Raw genomic sequence first — 27,428 nt, 5'->3', positions numbered from 1 at the left:
CTCCTCCAGCCTAGTTAGTTCCGCCCCCAGCCTGGCCAACACCGCCTCCAACTCAGCAAACCCCGCCCCTGGCGAGGGCCACTCACTGGTGTTGATGAGGAACTGGTTGGAGACCCCAGGGTGATCCACATCGTGGATGGCAGCCGCGAAGAGGGCGGCGAGAATCTCCAGGTCCGTGAACACTGCCTGGGAGCAGAGACACGGATGTTAGAATAACAGAGTTGAAGCCATGCATGGTGGTGAGCACCTGTTTGTCTCACCTACTTAGGAGGCTGAGATGGGAGGATCACTTGAGCCTAGGACTTCAAGGCCAGAAGTTCGAGGCCATCCTGGGCAACATAGCAAGGCCCTGTCTCAAATTTAATTTTCTTTCTTTTTTTTTTTTTTTTTTGAGACAGAGTTCTGCTCTTGTTGCCCAGGTTGGAATGCAGTGGCACGATCTTGGCTCACTGCAACTTCCCCATCCTGGGTTCAAGCAACTCTCCTGGTTCAGCCTCTCTAGTAGCTGGGATTACAGGCTCCCACCACCACGCCCGGCTAATTTTTAAAATATTTTTGGTAGAGACAGGGTTTCGCCATGTTGGCCATTTCTGACCTCAGGTGATTCACCTGCCTCAGCCTCCCAAAGTACTGGGATTACAAGTGTGAGCCACCGTGCCTAGCCCCCCGCAATTTTTATTTTATTTTTTTTGAGATGAAGTCTCACTTTGTTGCCCAGGCTGGAGTGCAGTGGCGCAATCCTGGCTCACTGCAACCTCCACCTACTGGGTTCCAGCGATTCTCCTGCCTCAGCCTCTGGAGTAGCTGGGATTACAGGCGTGCCCCACCACGCCCGGCTAATTTTTGTATTTTTAGTAAAGACAGTGTTTCACCACGTTGGTCAGGCTGGTCTCAAACTCCCGACCTCAGGTGATCCACCCATCTTGGCCTTCCAAAGTGCTGGGATTACAGGTGTGAGCCACCGCACCTGGACTAAAACTTTTTTTTTTTTAAGAAATAAGATTTTTGACCGGGCACAGTGGCTCACGCCTCTACTCCCAGCACTTTGGGAGGCCAAGGCGGGCTGATCACGAGGTTGGGAGTTTGAGACCAGCCTGTCCAACTTGGCGAAACGCCATCTCTACTAAAAATATTATAAAAACTTAGCCAGGCGTGGTGGTGGGCACCTGTAGTCCCAGCTACTCAGGAGGCTGAGGCAGGAGAATCACTTGAACCCGGGAGGCAGAGGTTGCAGTGAGCTGAGATCGTGCCACTGCACTCTAGCCTGGGTGGCAGAGCAAGACTCCGTCTCAAAAAGAAAAAAAAAAGAGAGAGAAATGGCGTCAAAGAGAGATGGAGGTCAGAGACACAGGGTCAGAGAGACACACAGGAGGCTGAAGAGGCAGTCACAAAGAGAGATGGGGACGGTCACTCACAGGGCAGTCACTCACATCTAGTGCAGGCGTGGCCAGCAGTACGTGGGTGGACTGCAGCACGTCAGCTGCGTGCAGGCTGTTATGGTAGGCCACGTCAGCGTGGTAGTGATCCTCCAGCGTCAGCATGTATGTCACCATCGTGTCCACAGGGATGCGGAATTTCTTCAGCAGGTCCCGCTCCTGAGAGCAGGCAGGGGCAGGGTGGTGACCTCCACCGGCCTCCAGCGCCCCGCTATGAGCCCCTCACCCGGGCCCACTCCCAGCTGTCCCCATCACCTGGAATATCATGTACATGATGCAGGTGAGTGAGCGGCCTCCAGCGTAATCCGACACGCAAAAGATGTTCAGGCCCCACTTGTTCAGGTTCTCCAGTTCCTGGTGGAGACGGAGGCCAGAGGTCAGAAGCCTGTAAGGCTCAGGGCCCTGGAGAACATTTCCTAGGAGTTTGAAGCCTTGGTCTGAAGGAAGCACCATTATTGCTCACCCAGTGGGTGACAGGTTCAACAGCACAGAATGTACTGCCCTCGTCCTACTGGGCTGCAAAATAGCGAAAGCAATCACAGCCACTGTCTTTTGAGTACTTATGATCTGCCAAGTATTGCTCTAAGCACTTGATCTCGTTTGGCAGGTGAAGGCACCAAGGCTCAGAGAGGCGATGTGACTTCTCCAAGATCATGCAGCTCATAAGTGGCAAAGCTAGGATAGGAACCCAGCACGACTGGCCCCAGCACAGCTCAGCCTCTTAGCTAAGCTGTTCACGAGCCCCAGGGGAGAAAGGAAGAAGGGCTTATTTTCCATGTCTCTCCAAAATTCAGAAAAGGGCCAGCACATAGTAGCTGCTTAATAAACACCAGTTGGCCAGGTGCAGTGGCTCACGCCTGCAATCCCAGCACTTTGTGAGGCTAAGGCGGGTGGATCACTTGAGGCCAGGAGTTCGAGACCAGCCTGGTCAACATGGTGAAACCCCATTTCTACTAAAAATACAAAAATTAGCCAGGTGTGCTGGCACAGGCCTTTAGTCCCGGCTAGTCAGGAGGGTGAGGCAGGAGTATTGCTTGAACCCAGGAGGTGGAGGTTGCCTTGAGCCGAGATCACACTACTGCACTCCAACCTGGGCAACAGAGCGAGTCTCCATCTCAAAATAAATAAATAAATAAAAATAAATAACTAAAGGCCAGGTGACTGAATGGAAGATTCACTGGAGGAGGTGGCTCAAAGAGGGTTACAATAAGCCTCAGCTGAGTGAGCCACCAAAGATGGATCACTTCCACTGCCGCTGTCCCCTGGAAGAGCTAGGAGTGAAACACCGGTCTGGACTGTTGGGGACACTATGGGGGCACAGTCTGGATTAGCGTCACTGCTGTGTACACCAATCCCTCTGCAGCTGGGAGTGTTGCCTGCTAAGGCTCACAGCTGCCTGCATTTCCAGAAGACTAGTCCCAACAGGAGCTACATGCAAGAGGTGATACGTCCAGCCCTGGGGACGGCCCCCAAGCAATGAATGATACAGAGGTACAAAGAGCCAGCATGCTTGCCTCAAGATGGGCTCAAACCCTCATCTCAAGCTCTGCTTCTGGGAAACCTGGCCTAAGACATAACCCAATGCCCAGTCCTTCTCAGGGTCCCAGGAGACCACCCCCTCCAGCCCTGCCCCTACTGAGCCCCCACCCACTTGGGCCAGGAGCTCTTCTTGATCGGTCTTCACCCCAAATCGGGGAATGTTAGAGTTGTTCAGGCTGTTACTATGCATCAACTTTTTCAACCCTGTGATTTGGGACATGGGCTGTAAGTGTGGTACAGGGGGCGGGGGCGGCTGGGAGGGTCTTGGTCGCGGCGCTTGCTGTTTTTCTCGTTCCTTCATCGTGGGTGATGGGATCTCCACTTCATTCTGTTTGTCTGCAGAAGATGGGGAGCAGGAACAAGTGTGAACAACCCTTCCACCCCTGGAGGCTCCCTTATTCTTCAGCCCACTACCACGTACGGGGAAGGCTCACCCGAAACGGCAGAACCCTTTCAGCTGTGATGCCGCTGGCTACTCAGAGTCAGGAAACCAGAGGGGATGTGGGAAATCTTCCAGGAGGTGGTGGGCTGGAGTGGGGGCCCAGGGCTCTGGGATGGCCCCGGTCTGATCATCAGATATGGATGGAGAGTGGTGTGGGAAGTCAGAAAGCGAGGTGGGGATGCCAGGGAGAGCCGCTGCCTACCCCGAACACCCAGGGAACCTTTCTGGGTGGGGAAGATCCCAGCATGGGGGCCAAGAGTGCTGGTGTGGGGGGTGGCATCACTGGGAAGAGAGAGGGAAGGGTGGTCTCTGGCTCCATGTCCCTGCCCCCCCCCCCCCCCGCCCACCTTGGCACCAGCCTGCCTGGGGGACAGCCCCAGGAACCCTTTTCCTGAGCTTTCAGGGGCTTCCAGAGCTGAGCCAAGGTCACCCATTGTGACCTGGAGCTAGCTAGTCAATGAAAAGGCCTAATACGGGTCATTTACATGTTATGCTCCCATTGGGTGGATCCTCAGAACTCAGAGACACACCCTCACTGGTGGGAGTACTGGAAACACCGAACACTTTTTTTCTTGAGACAGAGTCTCGCTCTGTCGCCCAGGCTGGAGTGCAGTGGCACGATCTCTGGCTCACTGTAGCCTCCACCTCCCGGGTTCAAGCGATTTTCCTACCTCAGCCTCCCGAGTAGCTGAGATTACAGGCACCCGCCACCGCGCCCGGCTAATTTTTACATTTTTAGTAGAGATGGAGTTTCATCATGTTGGCCAGGCTGGTCTTGAACTCCTGACCTCAAGTGATCCGCCTGCCTCGGCCTCCCAAAGTGCTGGGATTACAGGCGTGAGCCACCGCACCCAGCCCCAACACTTTTCTTGAGCTTGTCTGGGCGGTTCCCGAATTTGGGGGCCTTTGGAGTGTAGTGATAAACTGCGAGGATTAAATTATCCTGAGTTTGGGGGAATATCTCTAGCTTGAGGGTTTTGAGGTACCCATGAACTTAAGGGTTCCAGTGAAATCGGGGTATTCTGGTGCATTTGGGGTTCCATTGAATTAGGAATCTTACAGGTGTTAGTTTTTTTGAGACAAGCTGGAGTGCAGTGGCGCAATCATGTCTCACTGCAGCCTCGAACTCCTGGGCTCAAGTGATCCTCCTGCCTCAGCCTCCCAGGTAGCTGGGACCACAGGCACACGCCACCATGCCCGACTAGTTTTTTATTCTATTTATTTATTTATTTATTTATTTTTTTTTTGAGATGGAGTCTCACTCTGTCACCCAGGCTGGAGTGCAGTGACGCTATCTCAGCTCACTGCAACCTCCATCTCCCAGGTTGAAGCAATTCTCCTGCCTCAGCCTCCTGAGTAGCTGAGATTACAGGTGTGTGCCAACACGCGCAGCTAATTTTTGTATTTTTAGTAGAGATGGCGTTTCACCATGTTGGTCAGGCTGGTCTTGAACTCCTGACCTCATGATCTGCCCACCTCGGCCTTCCAAAATGCTGGGATTACAGGCGTGAGCCACTGCGCCCGGCCTAGTTTTTAATTTTTTTTGTAGAGACAGATTCTCACTATGTTGCCCAGGCTGGTCTTGAACTCCTGGGCTCAAGCGATCCTCTTTTCTCAGCCTCCCAAAGTCCTGGGATTATAGGCAAGAGCTGCCTCTTCCTGCCTCTTACAGGTTCTTAAGCTTGATAATCTTCTAGAGATTAGGGTTCTAACATTTTGGGAGTCTACTGAATTGGGGGGGGGTCATACCAAGTTTGGAGATCCTATTGAATTTGGGGGTTTTTCAGTTTGGAGGTTGCTAAAGTTGGGGGGCCTTTTGTGGACTCGGAAGCACAGAACTTCCCTTAAGTTTGAGAACTCTACTGAGTTTGGGCATCTCTCTTGAGTTTGGGTGTGTCTACTGAGTTTGGAAGGGAGTCAATCCAAGTTTGGAAATTCTATTGAATTTGGGGTTCTACTCAGTTCAGGAGGCTTTTCAGCTTGGAGGCTTTTTTTTTTTGTTTATTTTTTGAGACAGAGTCTCACTCTGTTGCCCAGGCTGGAGTGCAGCAGTGGCGTGATCTCAGCTCACTGCAACCTCTGCCTCCCGGGTTCAAGTGAGTGCTAAAACAAAGAGGTGTTTGTTTGTTTGTTTGTTTTGAGACGGAGTCTCACTCTATTGCCCAGGCTGGAACGCAGTGGTGTGATCTTGGCTCACTGCAACCTCTGTCTCCTGAGTTCAAGAGATTCTCTTGCCTCAGCCTCCCAAGTAGCTGAGATTACAAGCACACACCACCATGCCCGGCTAATATTTTTTTTTTTTTTTTTGAGACAAGAGTTTCACTCTTGTTGCCTAGGCTGGAGTGCAATGGAGCGATCTCGGCTCACTGCAACCTCCACCCCCTGGGTTCAAGCGATTCTCCTGCCTGAGCCTCCTGAGTTGCTGGGATTACAGGCACCCACCACCATGCCTGGCTAATTTTTTGTATTTTTAGTAGAGATGGGGTTTCACCATGTTGGCCAGGCAGGTCTCAAACTGCTGATGTCAAGTGATCCGCCTGCCTCAGCCTCCCAAAGTGTTGGGATTACAGGCGTGAGCCACCGCGCCCGGCGCTTGGAGGCTTTTTAAAGTTTAGAAGGGTTTTAAGCTCACAGATGATTTCAGATGTTGGGCTCTATAGAAGCTGGGGGTCCCACAGAGTTTGGAGGCATCAGGAACATGAGGGTTCCTGGATAGGGTGACTGTGACCTTTGGGGAGTTGAGAGTCAGAGTCCCTGGGAAGATGTGAGCAACAGGACCCACGGTCAGGGGCAGCCCCCTCTCTACCCCAAATGTCCCCCCTCCAATCCCACGTGCTTCCCCTCACTCACCCAGGAATGTTGTGGAAATGTACTCTGAGACCTGGTTTCCGGACCTGCTCATTTCTGACAGGTGTGTGAGCTCACGGTTCAACATCCTTTTGAACTAAGGTAAAGGAGTCAACAAGGAAGAAATGATGGGGGAAGCACAGTGGTGAGGAGGGTGTCAGTCCTTCCCAAGAACGCCTGAAGACCCCATGAGTCCCTCCTATTTTTCTGCTCAGCCAACAGAGCCCCTATAAGACTGCTGGGGGGTTGGGGTCAGCCTTTCCTGTCCTCCCAGCTCTGGATGGAGGTCCCCAGGTTTGGGGAGTCATGGTCAGCATAACCCTCCCTGCCTGAGGAAAGAGGGGCTTCCCTCCTCATCTCCCCCAAGGAGGAGCTAGAGGGGCACCTGTGGAAGGGAGGGGCTCCTGCCTAACAGGGAGCCAATAGGGAAGCAGGAGAATCCCGTCGCCATGGCGATGGGAGTCTCCTTAGCAACTCCCCCTCCAACCAGCTGCTGAGCTGGGGAAAAGGGGGGCAAGCCGGAGGCCCCTTAACCCTTGCCTTCCTAGAGCTGCCCCTGACCCAAGTGTTCCCAGACATGGACCCCAATCCTGGGGGTCCTGGCTCCTGGCCTCCAGCTCAGTTTGGAAAAAGGGAACGTGGTAGCCAAGCTCTGGGGGACAAAAAGGTTTGGCCGGGGTAGGGGAGAATGGTGAGCTGAGGAAATCCCAGTTTGATCACCCAGGGGAGGGGGAGGGGGGTTCTCATCATAGCCCACTCTCCCCCAACCCCAGAAGGGTGGACAGATGCACAGATGAACAGAGTATACCCAAAACCGGGCTTGGAGGCCCCTCCTGGTCCCCCCATGCCACTCTGCACAGGCCTCTGCTGTGACATTGTACACAGAGGAGAAAGGGCATTGGCTCCCCACCCCCAAGCTCTGCCACAGCACCCCAAAAGCAGGAGCAGACTCTGTCCAGGGAAGCAGGAGGGACACTTGGCAGGAGGGGTGAGCCTGCATGGCCCAGGCTTGGACGGGGTGCTCCCTCCTCCCGGTGCCACCCAGAGACCCTGGGTACAGAGACACACACATCCACACAAGATGGACCCACAAAATCTCACACAACCACACACACAATCACAGGCTCTCAGTCCTACACAGCGTCACACAGCCCAGACACACAGATCAAAGGGCATGCAAAATAAGGCGGTCACTGACATTTGGGGTCACATGTCCCCAAAATATCAGGCAGCTCTGGGCTCAGACACACAACCCAACACACAACACCATGGTCAGAGCCAGATGATCTCAGACAGGGCCACACAGTGACCCAGGCAAACAAGCCTATACTCAGGCAGACACACACCATCGCAGACACACACACACACATCCAGGCACTGACACAGTCACACCCAGTGAGGGACCCGCAGTCCACCCCCAGGGAGAGTCACACACCCCCAGCTGCCCGCCATCCACGCCCAGCCCTGGGCCACACACAGAGACAGTCACAAGGCTTCATCTCCAGGCCACACACGTGCACAGCTGCACACACAAGCCCACACCGGGGGCCCAGCTCACCAGGATGCCCGCCCACCCCCTACCCTGCACTCTCCTACCTGGTCCCACCAGCCCACCAGCCAAGGCTTAGAGCAGGTCTCGCAGAAGAAATCCACCAAGGGCATCTTGGAGACTTAGCCCGCCTGGGGCTGCTGCACACAGAGGCTGGGCTTGGGGAGTCCCGGGGTTAACAACCACTGGGGAGGGGGTGCCGGGCAGGTGGGTAGTGGAAGGGGGAGCCGCGGAGGGGCCTGGGCCGGCCCAGCAGGGCTGGGGGCTCCCTTCCCCTCCGCGCTCCCAGCAGCAGCCCTGGTTACATGGCCCGCCAGCCCTGGGCCCCAACGGGCCCCCCCGCGGCAGTGGGTGGAGGCGGTGGGGGGTCCGTGCCCATGGGAGGGGGGCAGGGCAAGGGTCCCAGGAGGAGGCTGCGGAGCTCTGTGTGTGCACCCGTGTGTGTGCGTGTGTGCTCACTGCAGCACTGGCAGGCTGCATGGGATGTCAGGTGGTGCTGGGGGTGGGGGGGTATTAAAGGGGCATCAGAGCCCATGGGCCTCAGCCAGAACCTAGGTGGGCTGTCCCCATCAGGACCCATCCCCTCCATGGACACACCCAGAGACAGAAACACACATCCACTTTACACTCACAGATGTACAAACACCCTGAGACACACCTTCCAGGGACACCCACACACATCCAGGCACTTGACACTTGAATATACACAGATACTCAAATGCTTTCTGTTGTACACTTACAGCACACACACACACACACACACCCGGAGACAGTCACAACTCTGATGTCCAACACACTTATAGGTCCACAGCTGAGCATATAGCAAATGCCTTCAGACACGCCCCATCCAAGGGCACAGACCCACATCCAGACCCACATCCAGACCCACACCTATAGACAGACACCGAGATACCAGCCACATTTCTTTTTTTTTTTTTGAGACGGAGTTTTCACTCTTGTCGCCCAGGCTGGAGTGCAATGGCACGATCTCGGCTCACCACAACCTCCGCCTTCCAGGTTCAAGCAATTCTCCCGCCTCAGCCTCCAGAGTAGTTGGGATTACAGGCACCCTCCAGCACACCCGACTAATTTTGTATGTTTAGTAGAGACGGGGTTTCTCCATGCTGGTCAGGCTGCTCGAACTCCCGACCTCAGGTGATCCGCCCGCCTTGGCCTCCCCAGCCAGCCACACTTACAGACACACACTAAACACACCCACAGACACACTTTCCAACCATTGCAAATATCCACTGCCCTTGGACACAAACATATCCCGACAAATCCATAAGGAAATATACTCACAGATGCAAAAATACACACACACACACACACACACACACACACACACACACACACCATTGCAGAAACATCCTCAGACCCATATCCAAAGACACAGCTACATTTCAGATGCTTGATCCACCCTCAGGGACACAATCGCCCTCAGACTGCTATGTTCCTATACAAGCCTCCACCCACTGCTGTAAGCACCCCCCAACAAAGACACTCCCACCTACAGATCATTTCTTGATAGGCACCCGCCCACAAGGGCTGTTACCACTCTCTCCAACTCCAGGAAGCATCATTCACACATACTGCCTGCTTCCTGAATGGTGTCCCCTGGAGTTGTGCAGTGCACCGTCTGCACAACTGTACATGGGAGCATTGCAGTCACCCCTACGGCCCTGCAAACACACACATTCACAAACACATAGAGCTACACATTCAGTTTCCCATCTGGTCCAACTCTCCCCTGCAGACATGCGCACCCCTCTGGCACAGCCCCACACACCTATAACCCTGCATAATTACCCGTGCAAACCTATACACCTACACAAGTACACACTGGCGTGCCACTCTTCAGAATCTATTCCCAACACCCCAGCGCTGCAAATGCGTAGCCAATAAACCAGCGGCTACGCAGACCTATAGCCGCAGATACACCCCCGCAGACCATAAAAGCATAAAACCCCCCAACGGAAACGGTCACCTATTGACACATGTACAACCAGACAGACACACCCCACCCCACAACACACACCAGGCTCCTCCAGCCCTGGGGAAAGTCATAATCTACAGGAGCTTCAAGCCTTGAAGCTGCCGCCCAGGGGTTGGCCCCACCCAGGGACTGACCCCATACCATAGACCCTACCCAGAGATTGGCCCCACCCTCATGAGCCACGCCCAATAGTTGGCCTCGGCTACAGGCCTAACCTAGTGGTTGGCTCCATCCATAGGGCCCAGCTCCACCAGCCCCCGCCCAGGGATTGGCCCTGCCCTAATCAGCCACACCCAGTAGCTATCTCCGCCCACAGGAACAACCTAATGGCTGGCTCCATCCGCAGGCCGCGCCCACTGGTCCCATCCAGCGGTTGGCTCTACCCACTGGCCCCGCCCCCGCCTGCCCCGCCCAGGGGTTCTGCCCACCACCTGCACACCTTGTGCGAGGCCATCTCGCTGACAGAGCGATAGGTCTGCATGGTCTCCAGCTGCTCCAGACACCAGTCCAGCTCCTCCAGAGTCTCCCGGGCCAACTGCTGACACGTTTCTTCTAAGGAAGGGGCAGCCAGGGTAGTGACTGAGAAGGTCTGTAGGCAGAAGCCCAGAGGCTCCAGACCGCCGTGACGGGGTTCGCCAGGTGAGTGGACTGCTGGGTGGGGAAGGGGCTGAGGGACCCCCACTGGGGCAGCAAGGGGGGCCCCTTCCCACCCCTCTGGGCTTAGCTACCTGACAGCGTGGCCTTGCAGACAGGGGTGGGGCCGCCCAGCGGGGACCGCCTGCAGAAAAAAAAAAATGGGGCTGCAATGTCAGCCTGGGTCCCCCCACCAGGTCCCTGCCTCCCGCTTTCATGAACAGTGCCAATTTTCATTTGTCTGAAAACTCACCGTGTCCTAAGGACGCTGCCATGTACTCTGCCTGCAGCCTCAATGAGTCCCAGAAAAATCCATTTTATAGATGTGGAAACTGAGGCTCAAGGAGGTGAAACAGCTTCTTCAAGACCACATGGCTGATCCGCCTTAAGGTCAGGTCCTGGGCTTCCAAGATCTCTGCTCTCTTGCCTAACTCTCCACAAATCCTCCAAGCCCCTAAGGATGTCTCTATCCCCCACCCCCAGAAGGACTGGCAGCTCTCAGCCACATCTCTTGCACTGAAACAATTAAGATCCACTCCTATGTACGCAGGGCAATATTCTAGCACTTTCTAGACATCATCTCCTCTCCTCACAGCAGTTATCTAAGGGAGGCATTATTGTAATCCTCACTTTATTTATCTATTTATTTTTTGAACCAGGGTCTTGCTCTGTCACCCAGGCTGGAGTGCAGTGGTGGGAACACAGCTCACTGCAGCCTCAACCTCCTGGGCTCAAAACTATCCTCCTGCCTTAGCCTTCTGTGTAGGTGGGAACCACAGACACATGCCACCATGCTGGGCTAATTTTTTTTTTTTTTAGAGACAGGGTCTCATTTTGTTTCCCCTGGGCTGGTCCTGAACTCCTGAATTCAAGTGACCTCCTGCCTTGGCCTCCCAAAGTGCTGGATTACAGGCATGAGCCAGCACGCTTGGCTGTGATCATCACTTTGCAGAAGGGCAACAGAAGCACCATGGAATGCCATTTGCCCAGCAACTTGGTGTCAAGACCCAGGGTGGGCCTGGGGACTGTGGCTGTGGCCTCACCACCATGCATCCAGACCCCTAAATCTTTATTTATAAAAACCTCTGGGCCGGGCGCAGAGGCTCACACCTGTAATCCTAGCACTTTGGGAGGCTGAGGCGGGTGGATCACCAAAGGTCAGGAGTTTGAGACCAGCCTGGCCAACATGGTGAAACCCCATCTCTACTAAAAATACAAAAATTAGCCCGGTGTGGTGGTGCATGCCTGTAATCCCAGCTACCCGGGAGGCTGAGGCAGGAGAATTGCTTGAACCCGGGAGGCAGAGGTTGCAGTGAGCCAAGATCGCACTACTGCACTCCAGCCTGTGTGACAGAGTGAGACTTGATCTCAAAACAAACAAACAAACAAAAAACAAAAAACAAACAAACAAACAAAAAACACCTCTGTGTCTTAGGCACTTGACCTGCAATGGCTCTCTGGCTTTCTGGGAGCTGTTGTCTGAACAGAGGTTCAGAGAGGTCACCTGCCTGCCAGAGGTCACACAGCAGGGCTGAGAGCAGAACCCGCATATGCTTCACCTTATGATCACAGCTGTTGCAGCCCAGCCTTCACTTACTTGTTACTGGGAACGGGCACATTGGTCAGGAGTGAGAAGTTGCTACGGACGCTCCGGAGGCTGGCCAGCACCTGGGATGGGGAGCGGCAGTGAGGAGTGGGGTTCCCCTAGAGAGGCAGCGGGGCTGGGCCCTGTCCCCAAGTGTGGCGGAGCATTGGAGCCCCTTCTCTCCTTAACCATTTGGGAAGAGGTCTCACCTGAGCAAATGGTGTTACGATGAGGTCTTCAGCGTGCCTGTGATTGAGGACAGAGGCAGGTCAGGGGTCCGCAGAGAAGCAACTGTCTGGGGTAGATGCCCTGTGAGGCTGGACCCAGGGAGGCTGAGAGGGAGGGAGGGGACTCTGTGGGACCTAGGGAAAGAACACTTGTACTGCATAAGGGTGGATATGTGTCCAGGGCTGATCGTGGAAGAAATGGCAGTCAAGGAGTGTGGCTCAGGTAGGTCCGGGGAGAAGAGACAAAGTGGAAAAGGGGAGAGGGGAGAGGTGAATATGGTTGGGTGTTTTTTTTTTTTTTAGACAGAGTCTCACTCTGTCACCCAGGCTGGAGTGTGGTGGCATGATCTCAGCTCACTGCAACCTCCGCCTCCCAGGTTCAAGCGATTCTCCTGTCTCAGCCTCCCAAGAAGCTGGGATTACAGGCATGTGCCTCTCGCCCCACTAATTTTTGTATTTTTAGTAGAGACTGGGTTTCATCATGTTGGCCAGGATGGTCTCAAACTCCTGGCCTGGAACAATCTACCCACTTTGGCCTCTCAAAGTGCTGGGATTATAGGCGTGAGCCACCGTGCCTGACCTTTTTATTTATTTATTTTTTCTTTTAAAGAGATGACATCTTATCCTGGCCAGCATGGTGAAACCTTGTCTCTACTAAAAATACAAAAATTAGCTGGGTGTGGTGACGCACGCCTGTAGTCTCAGCTACTTGGGAGGCTGAGGCAGGAGAATCCCTTGAACCCGGGAGGCAGAGGTTGCAGTGAGCCAAGATCGCGCCACTGCACTCCAGCCTGGTGACAGAGCAAGATTCCATCTCAAAAAAAAAAAAAAGAGAGAGATAAAAAAGAGATGAAGTCTTGCTATGTTGGCCAGGCTGGTCTCAGAATCCTGAGCTCAAGCAATCCTTCTGCCTCAGCCTCCAAATGTGCTAGGATTATGAGTGTGAGCTTCCAAGCCTGACCCGAGGTGAATATGTTGCAAGGGCGGGGCTTGATGAGGGGAGCAGTGAACAGGAAGGGGACCAAGTGGGTTGAGGTGTGTACAGCAATGGCTGGTGGAAAGGCCTGGAGGAACCCAGTGAGAGAGGAAGAGGCTGAGCAGGTTCAGGGGGAACTCACACCTCAACAAGTGTCACGATAAGGGAGGTTAGCTTAGGAAAACCTGGAGGAAGGGCAGAGGGTGGGTCAGGTGAGATGTACACACTGTGGGAGGATACAGTGGGTGGGCACTCACACCTTTCTGGCTGGACATGCTATAAAGTAACTGAGGGCGGGCAGGGTGGCTCATGCCTGCAATCCCAGCACTTTGGGAGGCTGAGGTGGGAGGATCGCTTGAGCCCAGGAGTTTGAGACCAGTCTAGGCAACATAGTGAGACCCGATCACTATTATATTTTTTAAAAAAGGAACTGAGGGCCGGGCGCGGTGGCTCACACCTGTAATCCCAGCACTTTGGGAGGCCGAGGTAGGCGGATCATGAGGTCAGGAGATCGAGACCATCCTGGCTAACAAGGTGAAACCCCGTCTCTACTAAAAATAGAAAAAATTAGCCGGGTGTGGTGGCAGGCACCTGTAGTCCCAGCTACTCAGGAGGCTGAGGCAGGAGAATGGCATGAACCCGGGAGGTGGAGCTTGCAGTGAGCCGAGATTGCACCATTGCACTCCAGCCTGGGCGACAGTGTGAGATTCTGTCTCAAAAAAAAAAAAAAAAAAAAAAAAAAGAGAAAAAAAGGAACTGAGGCCAGGCGCGGTGGCTCATGCCTGTAATCCCAGCAATCTGGGAGGCTGAGGTGGGCAGATCATGAGGTCAGGAGATCGAGACCATCCTGGCTAACACGGTGAAACCCCGTCTCCACTAAAAAATGCAAAAAAATTAGCCAGGCATGGTGGCGGGTGCCTGTAGTCCCAACTACTCGGGAAGCTGAGGTAGGAGAATGGCGTGAACCTGGGAGGAGGAGCTTGCAGTGAGCCGCGATCGCACCACTGCACTCCAGCCTGGGCAACACAACAGAGAGACACTCCGTCTCAAAAAAAAAAGGAACTGAGGCCAGGCGCGGTGGCTCACGCCTGTAATCCCAGCACTCTGGGAGGCCAAGGCAGGCGGATCACCTGAGGTCAGGAGTTTGAGACCAGCCTGGCCAACATGGTGAAACCCTGTCTCTACTAAAAATACACAATTAGCCAGGCATGATGGCTGGTGCCTGTAGTCCCAGCTACTCGGGAGGCTGAGGCAGGAGAATTGCTTGAACCCAGGAGGCGGAGGTTGCAGTGAGCTGAGATGGCACCTCTACACTCCAGCCTGGACGACAGAGCGAGACTCCGTCTCAAAAAAGAAAAAAAGAAAAAAAAAAAAAAAGGAACTGAGCCCTTTATAGGAGGGGCAGGGTGCTGCTTACCCTTCACTGGGGAGGACAGGTTGGGAGTGCTGAGGAGGATAGGGGTGGGTGCCCCCCGACTCCCTGCTGGGAAGGGCAGCTTCCAGCAGGACCAGGCCTGGGGGAACTGGCATGTGGGGAGAAGGATGCTCACGCCTCGCTGGTGACCGATGAGTTCCGGGACATGGTCTTGGGTGACATGTCATAGTCGCTGTCTGAGCGGTACAGGAAGGACTCCCGGCGCTGGCTGGTGGCCGCCCCGGCGTGCAGCACGAGTCCTGGGCTCGCCTGCGAGTCCAGGGGGCTGCGGCCAGGAGATGGTGTCGGCCCATTCTCTGCCTCGAAGCTGCAGGGGATGGGCGAGAAGAGGGGTCAGGAGGCTGAAACGCTATTAGGGAGGTCAAGAGGAATGAGGAGGCCGGGTGCGGTGGCTCACGCCTGTAATGCCTGTAATCCCAGCACTTTGGGAGGCCAAGTGGGGGTGAATCACTTGAGGTCAGGAGTTCGAGACCAGCCTGGCCAACATGATGAAACCCTGTCTCCACTAAAAATACAAAAATTAGCCGGGCATGGTGGCAGGTGTCTGTAATCCCAGCTATTCGGGAGGCTGAGGCATGAGAATCACTTGAACCCAGGAAGCGGAGGTTGCAGTGAGCCAAGATCGTGCCACTGCACTCCAGCCTGGGTGACAGAGCAAGACAATGTCTCAAAAAAAAAAAGGTGGGGGTGGGATGAGGAGCCTAAGGGAATTCCTGGCAGACATTCAGGTGGAGAATTTTTTTTTTTTTTTTTTGAGGTATGGTCTCGCTCTGTGGCCCAGGCTGGAGTAGTGCAGTGGTGTGATCTTGGCTCACTGCAACCTCCACCTCCCGGATTCAAGTGATTTTTCTGCCTCAGCCTCCTGCGTAGCTGGGATTACAGACATGCACCACCGCACCTGGCTAATTTTTGTATTTTTAGTAGAGATGGGGTTCCACCATGTTGGCCAGGCTGGTCTCAAACACCTGGCCTCATGTGATCCTCCCTCTTTGGCCTCCCAAAGTGCTGGGATTACAGGCCTGAGCCACTGCGCCCAACCAAGTGGAGGATGTTAAAGAAAGACAGATGCCCTAAAAGAGACGGGAGACACAGAATTGCAAAGATGGAACTTGAGCACCGGTGTGCATCCATCCCCACTGCTGTGCTGGGGACACCCCAAGGCCAAAATTTATGGGATCATTCACTCTTTCCTTCGTACCTCAAATCAGCCTTGGTGCCAAAATCTATCCAGAATCTGTCTACTTCTCACCCACTCCTTGGTCAGCTTCCCTCAGCCAGGACTGGTTGCATTCACCTCTGCCCTAGTACCCACCTCCTGTTTTCAACCCCCAGTCTTTCTTCAGTGGCCACCAGGGCGAGCTTGGAAACACCTGAATGAGGTCAAGTCCTCCCTCTGCTCAGAACCTTCGATGGATCCCACCTTACTCTGGGCAAAATCCAAAGTCCTCACTGCAGCTCACAGGTCCTGTCCCACGACTTTCCCTTCCCCCCTCACTCATTCTGCTCCAGCCACAATGGCCTCCTCACTGTTCCCTAAAAATCTCAGACACAGGCCGGGGTGAGGTGGCTCATGCCTGTAATCCCAGCACTTTGGGAGGCCAAGGTGGGCAGATCACTGAAGGTCAGGAGTTCTCTACCAGCCTGGCCAACATGGCAAAACCCCATCTCTAATAAAAATACAAAAATTAGCCAGGCGTGGTGGTGGATGCCTGTAATCCCAGCTACTTGGGAGGCTGAGGCAGGAGAATCACTTGAACCCAGGAAACGGAGGTTGCAGTGAGGGCCAAGATCTTGCCACTGCGCTCCAGTCTGGGCAACAGAGCAAGACTCCATCTCAAAAAAAAAAAAAAAAAATCTCAGACACAGTCCTGCCTCAGGGCCTTTGCACAGGCTGTTTCTCCAGCCCAGATTTGCAGCGGCTCCTCTTTCCCTCCTTCAGGCCTCTGCTCAAATGTCACTGCCACAAAGAAGCCTCCCCTGACCAACCCAGCTAAAATTTCAACCATAATACTTTTTTTTTTTTTTTGAGATGGAGTTTCACTCTTGTTGCCCAGGCTGGAATGCAATGGCGCGATCTCAGCTCACCGCAACCTCCGCCTCCTGGGTTCAAGCGATTTTCCTGCCTTAGTCTCCCGAGTAGCTGGGATTACAGGCATGCACCACCACGCCTGGCAAATTTTGTATTTTCAGTAGACACAGTCAGGCTGGTCTGGAACTTCCAACCTCAGGTGATCCACCTGCCTCAGGCTCCCAAAGTGCTGGGATTACAGGTGTGGGCCACCATGCCCAGCCCATTTTGTATTTTTAGTAGAGATGGGGTTTCTCCATGTTGGTCAGGCTGGTCTCAAACTCCCAGCCTCAGGTGATCTGCCCACCTCTACCTCCCAAAGTGCTGTGATTACAGGCGTGAGCCACCGTGCCCAGCCCAATACTATTTCTCTTCCTTAAAACACACACACACAAACTAAAATCCCACTACTTACTTGACATAATCTATATTTATCTTTTTTTTTTTTTTTTGAGACAGTCTTGCTCTGTCACCTAGACTGGAGTCCAGTGATGCGATCTTGGCTCATTGCAACCTCTGCCTCCTGGGCTCAATCAATTCTCCTGCCTCAGCCTCCCGAGTAGCTGGGATTACAGGCACCTGCCACCACACCTGGCTAATTTTTGTATTTTTAGTAGAGATGGGATTTTACCATGTTGGCCAGGCTGGTTTCGAACTCCAGACCTCAAGTAATCCACCCACCTCGGCCTCCCAAAGTGCTGGGATTACAGGCATGAGCCACTGCGCCTGGCCTGGTGTTTTTTTGAGATGAAATCTCGCTCTATCGCCCAGGCTGGAGTCCTGTAGGGCAATCCCAGCTCACTGCAGCCTCAACTTCCTGGGCTCAAGCTATCCTCCACCTCCACCTCCCAAGTAGGTGGGACTACAGGTGTACGCCAGCAAGCTCAGCTAATTTTTTTTTTTTTTTTTTTTGAGACAGGGTCTCACTCTCTTACCCAGACTGAAGTGCAATGGCACAATCTCAGCTCAATGCAACCTCCACCTCCCTGGCTTAAGAAATCCTCCCACCTCAGCCTCCCAAGCAGCTGGGTCTACAGGCACATGCCACCACCCCCAGATAAATTTTGTATTTTTTGTAGAGATGGGGTCTCGCCATGTTGTCCAGGTTGGTCTGGAACACCTGGGCTCAAGCAATGCCCTCACCTTGGCCTCAAGTGATCCACCTGCCTTGGGCTCCCAAAACACTGGGATTACAGGCGTGAGCCACCATGGCTGGCCCATTATATATTCTGGATACAAATCCCTTATCATGTATTTTTCTCCAAGTTTGCAGCTTATCATTTAGTGATGGGGTCTCACTCTGTTGCCCAGGCTGGAGTGCAGTGGAACCATCATAGCTCACTGCAGCCTCCTGGACTCTAGCGATCCCCCCACCTAAGCCTCGGGAGTGGCTGGGACTATAGGCACGTGCCACCACACCCAGATAATTTTTGAATTTTTTGTAGTAATAGGTAATATGTAATATTGGTAATATGTAATATGTAATATTACTAATATTACATACACATGCATATGCAATATTGCTAGTATTATATATGCATATGCAATATTGCTAATATTGCATACATGTATATGCACTATTACTAATATTACATGCATGTATATAATATTACTATATATAATATTACTGATATTATATATGTAATATTAGTAATATTACATATATTAGTAGTATGTGATAATAGTAATATGGTAATATGTAATAATAGTAATAAGGTAATATGTAATAATAGTAATAAGGTAATATGTAATAAGTAATTATAATAATAAGGTAATAATAGTAATAGTAATATGTTGCCCAGGATAGTCTGTAACTCCTGGGCTCAAGAGATCCTCCCGCTTTGGCCTCCCACAGTGCTGGGATTACAGACATGAAACGCTATGCCTAAAGCGTGTCTTCTTATACATTTTTGTTTTGCTTTGTTTTGTTTTTGAGACAGGATTTCACTCTGTCGCCCAGTCTGGAGTGCAGTGGCGCGATCTCGGTTCACTGCAACCTCTGCCTCCCGGGTTCAAGCAATTCTCCTGCCTCAGCCTCCCGGATAGCTGGGATTACAGGCATGCACCAGCACATCTGGCTAATTTTTGAATTTTTAGTACAGTCAGGGTTTCACCACGTTGGCCAGGCTGGTTTCAAACACCTGGCCTCAAGTGATCTGCCCACCTCAGCCTCCCAAAGTGCTGGGATTATAGGTGCCTGGCAGGCCTAGGAGATTTCAAACTTATTTCTTAGTAGAGAGACCATTCCAGTAAAGTCTTATGGTGACTCTCTATAGGCTGACCTAGAAAGGGGAAGCGGGGGGTTCCTATCCTCTCTCCCTCTCCACTTGCACCCACTCAGAGCATAGCCTGAAATCTACCTACTAGTCTAACCCCAGAGACTACTCAATGGGGAAAGAACTGTCTTTTCAAAACGATGGTGCTGGGAAAACTGAAGAGGTGGACCACATACAGAAATTAACTCAAGGCAGGGCGTGGTGGCTCATGCCTGTAATCCCAGCACTTTGGGAGGCCTGAAGCGGGCAGATCACCTGAGGTCGGGAGTTCGAGACCAGCCTGGCCAACATGGTGAAACCCCGTCTCTACTAAAAATTCAAAAATTAGCCGGGCGTAGTGGTGGGTGCCTGTAATCCCAGCTATTCCGGAGGCTGAGGCAGAAGAATCCCTTGAACCCAGGAGGCGGAGGTTGCAGTGAGCCGAGATCACACTACTGCACTCCAGCCTGGATGACAGAGCGAGACTCCATCTCAAAAAAAAAAAAAAAAAAAAAAATAACTCAAAATGACCAAATACCTAAACATAAGAGCCAAAACTATAAAACTCTTAGCAGCTTCATGACATTAGATCTGGCAATGATTTCTTGAATTTGACACCAAAGCACAGGCAACAACAATAACAAACAAGTGGACTTCAACAAAATGAAAGACTTTTGTGTATCAACAGAGGCTGAGGTGGAAGGATGGCTTGAGACCAGGAGCTTGTGGCCAGCCTGGGCAATATAGTGAGACCCCATCTCTTAAAAAAAAAAAGGGCTGGGCACGGTGGCTCACGCCTGTAATCCCAGCACTCTGGGAGGCCTAGGCGGGCAGATCACTTGAGGTCAGGAGTTCGAGACCAGCCCAGACAACATGGCGAAACCGTCTCTACTAAAAATACAAAAATTAGCCGGGCATGGTGGTGTGCACCTATAGTCCCAGCTACTCAAAAACAAAGAAACAAAGAAACAAAAAACACAAAAAAACAAAACTTGTTTAATTAGCCAGGCATGGCAGTGTGTGCCTGCAGTCCCAGCTACTGGGAGGCTAAGACTGGAGGATCACTTGAGCCTGGGATGTTTGAGGCTGTAGTGAGTGAGCTGTGATCGCACCACTGCACTCCAGCCTGGACGACAGAGGGAGACTTTGTTTCAAAAATAAATAGGCCAGGCCTGGTGGCTCAGACCAGTAATCCCAGCACTTTGGGAGGCCGAGGTGGGCGGATCACTTGAGTCTAGGAGTTTGAAACCAGCCAGGGCAGCATGGTGAAACCCCGTCTCAACCAAAAAAAAAAAAAAAAAATTGGCTGGGCGTGGTGGCTCACGCCTGTAATCCCAGCACTTTGGGAGGCCGAGGTGGGTGGATCACGAGGTCAGGAGATCGAGCCCATCCTGGCTAACACAGTGAAAACCCTGTCTCTACTAAACATACAAAAATTAGCCGGGCGTGGTGCCATGTGCCTGTAATCCCAGCTACTGGGGAGGCTAAAACACGAGAACTGCTTGAACCCGGAAGGTGGAGGTTGCAGTGAGCTGAGATCGCGACATTGCACTTCAGCCTGGATGACAGAGCGAGACTCTGTCTCAAAAAATACATAAATAAATAAAATAATTAGCCAGGCATGGCGGCTCTCACCTGTAATCCCAGCTACTAGAGAGACTGAGGTGGGAGAATCACTTAAACCCGGGAGGCAGAGATTGCAGTGAGCTGACATCGTGCCACTGCACACCAGCCTGGGCAACAGAGTGAGACCCTGTCTCAAAATAATAAATAATAAATTGTAAATAATTTGACTTAATAGGCAAATGACTTGAATAGGCATATCTGCAGAAAAGATATTAAAACAGCCAATAAACATATGAAAAAAAATCCTTAACATCACTCATCAGGGAAACGCAAATCAAAAGAAAGAGATACAGGTCTGGTGAGGTGGCTCATGCCTGTAATCCCAGCGCTTTGGGAGGCAAGGTGGGTGAATCACTTGAGGTCAGGAGTTTGAGACCAGCCTGGCCAACATACCGAAACCCTGTCTCTACTAGAAATACAAAAATTAGCTAGGTGTGGTGGTGGGTGCCTATAATCCCAGGTACTTGGGAGGCTGAGGCAGGAGAATTGCTTGAACCCGGGTGGCAGAGGCTGCAGTGAACCAAGATCACGCCACTGCACTCCAGCCTGGGTGACAAAGCAAGACTCCGTCTCAAAAAAAAAAAAAAAAAAAAGGAGATACCATGTCACGCCTATTAGGATGGTTCCTGAAGGGCCTTTTACTTTTGAAGATCTTAGGGTTCCTCCATCCCCTGCATGCAATGCCAAGGAGGGTATTTTGGGGACAGCTGTGTCCTGAGCCACCTTCTCTCCAGGATGCCACTTGTAACTGGCCTTTACCCGTGTCCTGTTTCCCAGTTGCTCTCCCCTCCAGACAGCTGGTCTCTTCACTCCAAGAGAAGGGACTGTGGAGCCAGGAGGCACTCCTACCTCCATCCACCCCGTCTCTCAGCCTCTGACCCGCCTCCTGGGCCTCAGATTTGAGTTCCAGAGACAGACCTTATTGAAGGCCTGGACTCTTCGCATCCCTGAGGTCACAACACCTCCTCTCTCACCTGCTGCACTCTCCATTCCAACCAGGTCTCTCTGCTGCTCCGATTCCTCCCCACTCACAAACAATCCATTCCTACCTGCTGTTGAGAGAACCACTGTAACCCCAATCAAAAATGTTTGTAGGCCAGGTGCGGTGGCTCACGCCTGTAATCCCAGCATTTTGGGAGGCCGAGGCGGGCAGATTACCTGAGGTCCAGAGTTCGAGACCAGCCTGGCCAACACGGTGAAACCCAATCTCTACTAAAAATACAAAAATCAGGTGGGCGTGGTGGCAGGCACCTGTAGTCCCAGCTACTCGGGAGGCTGCAGCCAGATAATTGCTTGAACCCGGGAGACGGAGGTTGCAGTGAACCGAGATCACACCACTGTACTCCAGCCTGGCCGACAGAATGAGACTCTGTCAGAAACCAACCAAACAAACAAACAAAAAACCCTCAAAACAAACAAACACGTAGAATCACCACACAACCGCGCAATCCCACTCCTAGGTCTATCCCCAAAAGAATTGAAAGTGGGGATCTCAAACAGATACATGTACACCCATGTTCACAGCAGCGTAATTCACGATGGCCAAAAGGTAGAAGTGACTGACGTGTCCATCAACAGATGAATGGATCAACAAAATGTGTTATATCCATTGAATGGAATAGAATTCAGCCTTAAAAAGGAAAGGAATTCTGACACAGGCTACAACATGGATGAACCCTGAAAACATTATGCTCAGTGACCCAGCACTTTGGTAGGATGAGGTGGGCGGATCACCTGAGGTTGGGAGTTCGAGACCAGCCTGACCAACATGGAGAAACCCTGTCTCTACTAAAAATACAAAATTAGCCGGGCGTGGTGGCACATGCCTGTAATCCCAGCTACTCGGAGGCTGAGGCAGGAGAATCACTTGAACCTGGGAGGTGGAGGTTGCAGTGAGCCGAGATTGGGACATTGCATTCCAGCTTGGGCAATAAGAGTGAAACTCTGTCTCAAAAACAAACAAACAAACAAAAAAACATTATGCTCAGTAAAATAAGCCAGTCAGAAAAAGACAAATAGTGCACAGGAAATTCCACTTATATGAGGTCCCTGGAGTACTCAAACTCAGAGACAGAAAGTAGAAGAGTGGGTGCCAGCGGCTGGGGGAGATAGGGAAATGGTGTGTTTGTGCTTAAAGTTTCAGTCTGAGAACATTAAAAAGTCCTGGCCAGGTGTGGTGGCTCACGCCTGTAATCCCAGCACTTTGGCAGGCGGAGGCGGGCGGATCACAAGGTCAGGAGAGCGAGACCATCCCGGCCAACATGATGAAACCCCGTCTCTAATAAAAATACAAAAATTAGCTGGGTGTGGTGGTGCGTGCCTGTAATCCAAGCTACTCAGGAGGCTGAGGCACGAGAATCGCTTGAACCCGGGAGGCGAAGGTTGCAGTGAGCCGAGATTGCGCCACTGCACTCCAGCCTGGCGACAGAGCGAGACTCCGTCTCAAAAAAAAAAAAAAAGTCTTGGAGGCTGGGTGAAGTGGCTCACATCTGTAATCCCAGCACTTTGGGAGGCCCACGCGGGAGGATTGCTTGAGCCCAGGAGTTCAACACCAGCCTGGGAAACATGGCAAGGCCCTATCTCTACAAAAAATGAAAAAAATTAGCAAGGCATGATGATGGTGTGCGCCTGTGGTCCCAGCTACTCAGGAGGCTGAGGTGGGAGGATCACCTGAGCCCTGGAGGTATAGACTGCAGTGAGCAGTGATGATGCCACTGCACTCCAGCCTGGGTGATAGAGTGAGACCCTGTCTCAAAAAAAAAAAAAAACAGTCCTGGAGATGGATGGTGGTGATGGTTGCACAACAATGTGAATGTACTTAATGCCACTGAACTATACACTCGAAAATGGATAAAATGGGCCAAGCAGAATGGCTCATTCCTATAATCACAGCACTTTGAGAAGCTGAGGTGGGAGGATCACTTAAGTCCAGGAGTTTGAGACCAGCCTGGGCAACATAGCAAGACCCTGTCTCTACAAAAAATTTAAGTTAGCTGAGCATGGTGGTGCATGTGTATAGTCCCAGCTACTCAAGAGGCTGATGCAAGATGATTGCTTGAGACCAGGATTTGGAGGCTGCAGTGAGCTGTGATCATGCCACTGCACTCCAGACTGGGTGATACAGTGAGACCCTATCTCAAAAAAAAAAGAAAAAGGCCGGGCACGGTGGCTTACGCCTGTAATCCCAACACTTTGGGAGGCCAAGGCGGGCAGATCATGAGATCAGGAGTTCGAGACCAGCCTGACCAACATGGTGAAACCCCGTCTCTACTAAAAATACAAAAATTAGCTTGGCGTGCTGGTGTGCGCCTGTGATCTCAGCTACTCAGGAGGCTGAGGCAGGAGAATCACTTGATCCTGGGAGGTGGAGATTGCAGTGAGCCAAGATCGAGCCACTGCACTGCAGCCTAGGGGATAGTCTCAAAAAACAAACAAACAAAAAAAGCCACTCTTAAGGTTCTTAAGGTGAGATAATCATAGATCATCAGCTTGGACCTTTGATGATAATGTCCATTTATTTATTTATTTATTTATTTTTGAGATGGAGTCTCACTCTGTCACCCAGGCTGGAGTGTAGTGATGTGATCTCAGCTCACTGCAACCTCTGCTGCCGGGCTCAAGCAATTCTCCTGACTCAGTCTCTCGAGTAGCTGGGACTACAGGTGTGCGCCACTACACCTGGCTAATTTTTGTATTTTTAGTAGAGACGGGTTTCACCATGTTGGCCAGGCCAGTCTCGAACTCCTGACCTCAGGTGATCCACCCGCCTCAGCCTCCCAGTGTGCTGGGATTACAGGCGTGAGCCACTGCACCCAGCCAATAGTGTCCATTTGTTGAGCACCTGCTGTGTCCTGGGTGCCAGGTTAGATCCTTTCAGGCATACAGTAATAATAACAAGACATTTATTGAATGCTTGCTGTGTGCCTGGCATTATGAAAGTGCTTTATACACATTAACCGACAGAGGGCTCCAACCCACTCTATAAGTTAACATATAGGTCCTGGTTTTTGTTGTTTTTTTGAGACGGAGTTTCGCTCTTATTGCCTAGGCTGTAGTGCAGTGGCGCCATCTCGGCTCACTGCAACCTCCGCCTCTCAGGTTCAAGAGATTCTCTTGCCTCAGCCTCCCGAGTAGCTGGGATTACAGGCATGTATCACCATGCCCGGCTAATTTTGTATTTTTAGTAGAGACGGGGTTTCTCCATGTTGGTCAGGCTGGTCTTGAACTCCCGATCTCAGGTGATCCACCTGCCTCGGCCTCCCAAAGTGCTGGGATTACAGGTGTGAGCTACTGCGCCTGGCAACATATAAGTCCTGTTAACATTCCCATGGCATAAGGAGACAAGGGGTTGGTGGCTTCATTGTCTGAGAACTGTGTCCTGTCTCCTAAGGTGGATTTTTTTTCAGCTCCAGAGAAGGCGAGAGGAACATAGCTACACACCTCCAACTCCCCGGCCTAGGATTTAAGCTGCAGTTTAGGATGGTGAGACTCTGTTCCCAAGCAGGTGCCCAGCTAGCACATCCTGGCACATCCACCAGCCCCAAGGGACTCAGCTCACGTCAGCAGGAGCCCAGAGGCCTGGATGGGAAGAGGACACTCCCTGGGGCCCTGCTGTTTCTGTTTCAAGACCCGATGTCCCCTGGGCTGAGGGAGGACAGAGGGGAGGGGACAGGGCTATAGAACTGCTGCCTGGGAGCTGGTGGGGATAGGGGAGAGTCAGGGCCAGTGATGCCCCAGAATCAGATCCCTGAGCCATGGAGAGTCACCCCTCCCTGGCTTGCCACTGACTGCTCAGGGTGGCCCAAAGTTAGGCCAGAGGCCACTCCAGCAACATCCCCATGGGACCCAAGGTTGCAACCCAGACACAGGGGTAGCTGCCAGCCTTACATCACAGCCACATGCCCAGACGCTCCATTGGAGGTGAAGTGACCCGCCCAAGACTCCCTCTTAGGCAGGCTAATCATTGTTTTTTGTTTGTTTGTTTGTGTGTGTGTGTGTGTGTGTGTGTGTGTGTTGATACAGGGTCTTGCTCTGTCACCCAGACTGCAGTGCAGTGGGGCGATCATGGTTCACTGCAGCCTCAGCCTCCCAGGCTCAAGCGATCCTCCCACCTCAGCCTCCTGAGTAGCTGGAACCACAGGCGCACACCACCACACCCAGCTAATTTTTTTTTTTAAGCAGAAATGGGGTTTCACCATGTTGCCCAGGCTGGTCTTGAACTCCTAGACTCAAGCAATCTGCTTCCCAAAGTCTCGCCCTCTCAAAATGCTGGGTTTATAGGCATGACCACTGCATCTGGCCTCAGGCTGATCATTTGGTGACACTTTCAGATGAAGTTGCTACCTGTTTCCCCCTCCACGTGGCCCCTAGGCCTTCCCACCAGGGCTTTTGGGAGCATGAAATTGGGCTTGTTGAGGGCTATGCAGCCCAGGGAGAGTCTAGGCCTTGGGGGATGACTACTGCAGGGACTGACGGGACACAAACAAGCTAGGGAGCGGGGGCGGGGGAAACGAACACATTGGTAAAGATTATAATAACAAGAACTATGGCCAGGCGCCGTGGCTCATGCCTGTTGGAGCATCGCTTGAGCCTGGGAAGCAGAGGTTGCAGAGAGCAGAGATGATACCACTGCATCCCAGCCTGGATGATAGAGATGCTGTCTCAAAAAAAAAAAAAAAAAAAAAAAGCTGGGCACAGTGGCTCATGCCTGTAATCCCAGCACTTTGGGAGGCCAAGGCGGGCAGATCACTTGAGGTCAGCAGTTCGAGACCAGCCTGGCCAACATGGGGAAACCTGTCTCTACTAAAAATATAAAAATTAGCCAGGCGTGGTGGCGGGGCGCTTGTAATCCTAGCTACTTGGGAGTCTGAGGCAGGAGAATTGGTTGAACCCAGGAGGCACAGATTGCAGTGAGGCAAGATCGCACCACTGCACTCCAGCCTGGGTGACAGAGTGAGACTCCATCTCAAGAAAGAAAAAAAAAACAAACTTATGTGAAGACCACATGCTAGGCATTGTGCTATACTGTAACATGCATTAATGCTCCATTTTCCAGACAAAGAAACTGAGGCCAGGCACGGTGGCTCACGTCTGTAATCCCAGCACTTTGGGAGGCCAAGGTGGATGGATCACTTAGGGCCAGGAGTTTGAGATCAGCCTGGCCACCATAGAGAAACCCCATCTAAACTAAAAATACAAAAAAATTAGCTGGGCTATGGTGGCATACACCTGTAATGCCAGCTACTTGGGAGGCTGAGGCACAAGAATTGCTTGAACCCGGGAGGCAGAGGTTGCATTGAGCCAAGATCACTCCACTGCACTCCAGCCTGGGTGACAGAGCGAGACCCTGAAAAAAAAAAAAAGGAAGAAAGAGAGAAAGAAGGAAAGAAGGAAAGGAAGAAAGAAAGGAAGGAAGGAAGGAAGAAAGAAAGAAACTGAGGCACATAAAGGATAAATACTATGGTTATTAGTAGCAGAGCATGGATTTCTTTTAAAATTTATTTATTTTGTAGAGATGAGGTTTTACTATGTTGCCCAGGCTGGTCTCAAACTCCTGGGCTCAAGCCATCCTCCCACCTCAGCCTCCCAAAGTGCTGGGATTACAGGCATGAGCCACCACGCCCGGCCTAGAATGTGGATTTGAACCCAGGCAGCTGAGCTACAAAGCTGCGACGAGTGTCTTCCCCCGGGGCGCACAGGGCAGGCAGGCCTGGTGTCTCCCCCGGCTCCCCGTGCTTTTCCACCTGACTCACTTGTAGGTGGTGCCAGGCAGCCTTTATGGAAAGGCCTGGCATTTGCTTTGTGAAGGTCACAT

The 27,428-nt window shown here is 52.2% G+C and overlaps 1 protein-coding gene across 13 annotated transcripts in view, besides 4 other annotated features; it reads right to left on the bottom strand.

Annotated features, from left to right (window-relative positions):
* Positions 1-27,428, bottom strand: part of PDE4A (phosphodiesterase 4A) — a 52,859-nt gene that overhangs the window by 8,442 nt on the left and 16,989 nt on the right. For 7 of the 13 annotated variants that reach the window (NM_001243121.2, XM_011528055.4, NM_001111307.2 and 4 more), the window contains 10 exons: positions 14,781-14,972; positions 12,237-12,273; positions 12,040-12,110; positions 10,538-10,587; positions 10,249-10,361; positions 6,268-6,361; positions 3,088-3,311; positions 1,692-1,790; positions 1,431-1,595; positions 87-186 (listed from right to left, as the gene is read on the bottom strand). In NM_001243121.2, coding sequence (NP_001230050.1) covers positions 87-186; positions 1,431-1,595; positions 1,692-1,790; positions 3,088-3,311; positions 6,268-6,361; positions 10,249-10,361; positions 10,538-10,587; positions 12,040-12,110; positions 12,237-12,273; positions 14,781-14,972 — 1,145 coding nt within the window. Of the gene's footprint in view, positions 1-86; positions 187-1,430; positions 1,596-1,691; positions 1,791-3,087; positions 3,312-3,409; positions 3,503-6,267; positions 6,362-7,860; positions 8,259-10,248; positions 10,362-10,537; positions 10,588-12,039; positions 12,111-12,236; positions 12,274-14,780; positions 14,973-27,428 lie in introns of those variants that run through there. The other 6 variants (XM_047438910.1, XM_017026865.3, XM_047438911.1 and 3 more) reach the window with 3 other exon arrangements.
* Positions 9,976-10,085: a silencer, noted in NCBI's record as "silent region_10075". NCBI's record gives its function as "represses an Ori minimal core promoter by ATAC-STARR-seq in GM12878 lymphoblastoid cells {active_cell/tissue: GM12878}" and the evidence as "EXISTENCE:reporter gene assay evidence [ECO:0000049][PMID:35858748]".
* Positions 14,841-14,930: an enhancer, noted in NCBI's record as "active region_13971". NCBI's record gives its function as "activates an Ori minimal core promoter by ATAC-STARR-seq in GM12878 lymphoblastoid cells {active_cell/tissue: GM12878}" and the evidence as "EXISTENCE:reporter gene assay evidence [ECO:0000049][PMID:35858748]".
* Positions 24,624-24,693: an enhancer, noted in NCBI's record as "active region_13970". NCBI's record gives its function as "activates an Ori minimal core promoter by ATAC-STARR-seq in GM12878 lymphoblastoid cells {active_cell/tissue: GM12878}" and the evidence as "EXISTENCE:reporter gene assay evidence [ECO:0000049][PMID:35858748]".
* Positions 24,902-25,401: an enhancer, noted in NCBI's record as "H3K4me1 hESC enhancer chr19:10546465-10546964 (GRCh37/hg19 assembly coordinates)". NCBI's record gives its function as "activates a minimal SCP1, AML or CMV promoter by ChIP-STARR-seq in primed H9 embryonic stem cells {active_cell/tissue: H9 hESC(primed)}" and the evidence as "EXISTENCE:reporter gene assay evidence [ECO:0000049][PMID:30033119]".

This window comes from Homo sapiens, chromosome 19 (assembly GCF_000001405.40).
Source record: "Homo sapiens chromosome 19, GRCh38.p14 Primary Assembly".
NCBI classification, from domain to species: Eukaryota; Metazoa; Chordata; class Mammalia; order Primates; family Hominidae; genus Homo; species Homo sapiens.
The sequence above is the reverse complement of the archived record's forward strand: the minus strand, read 5'-3'. Positions and strand labels throughout refer to the sequence as shown.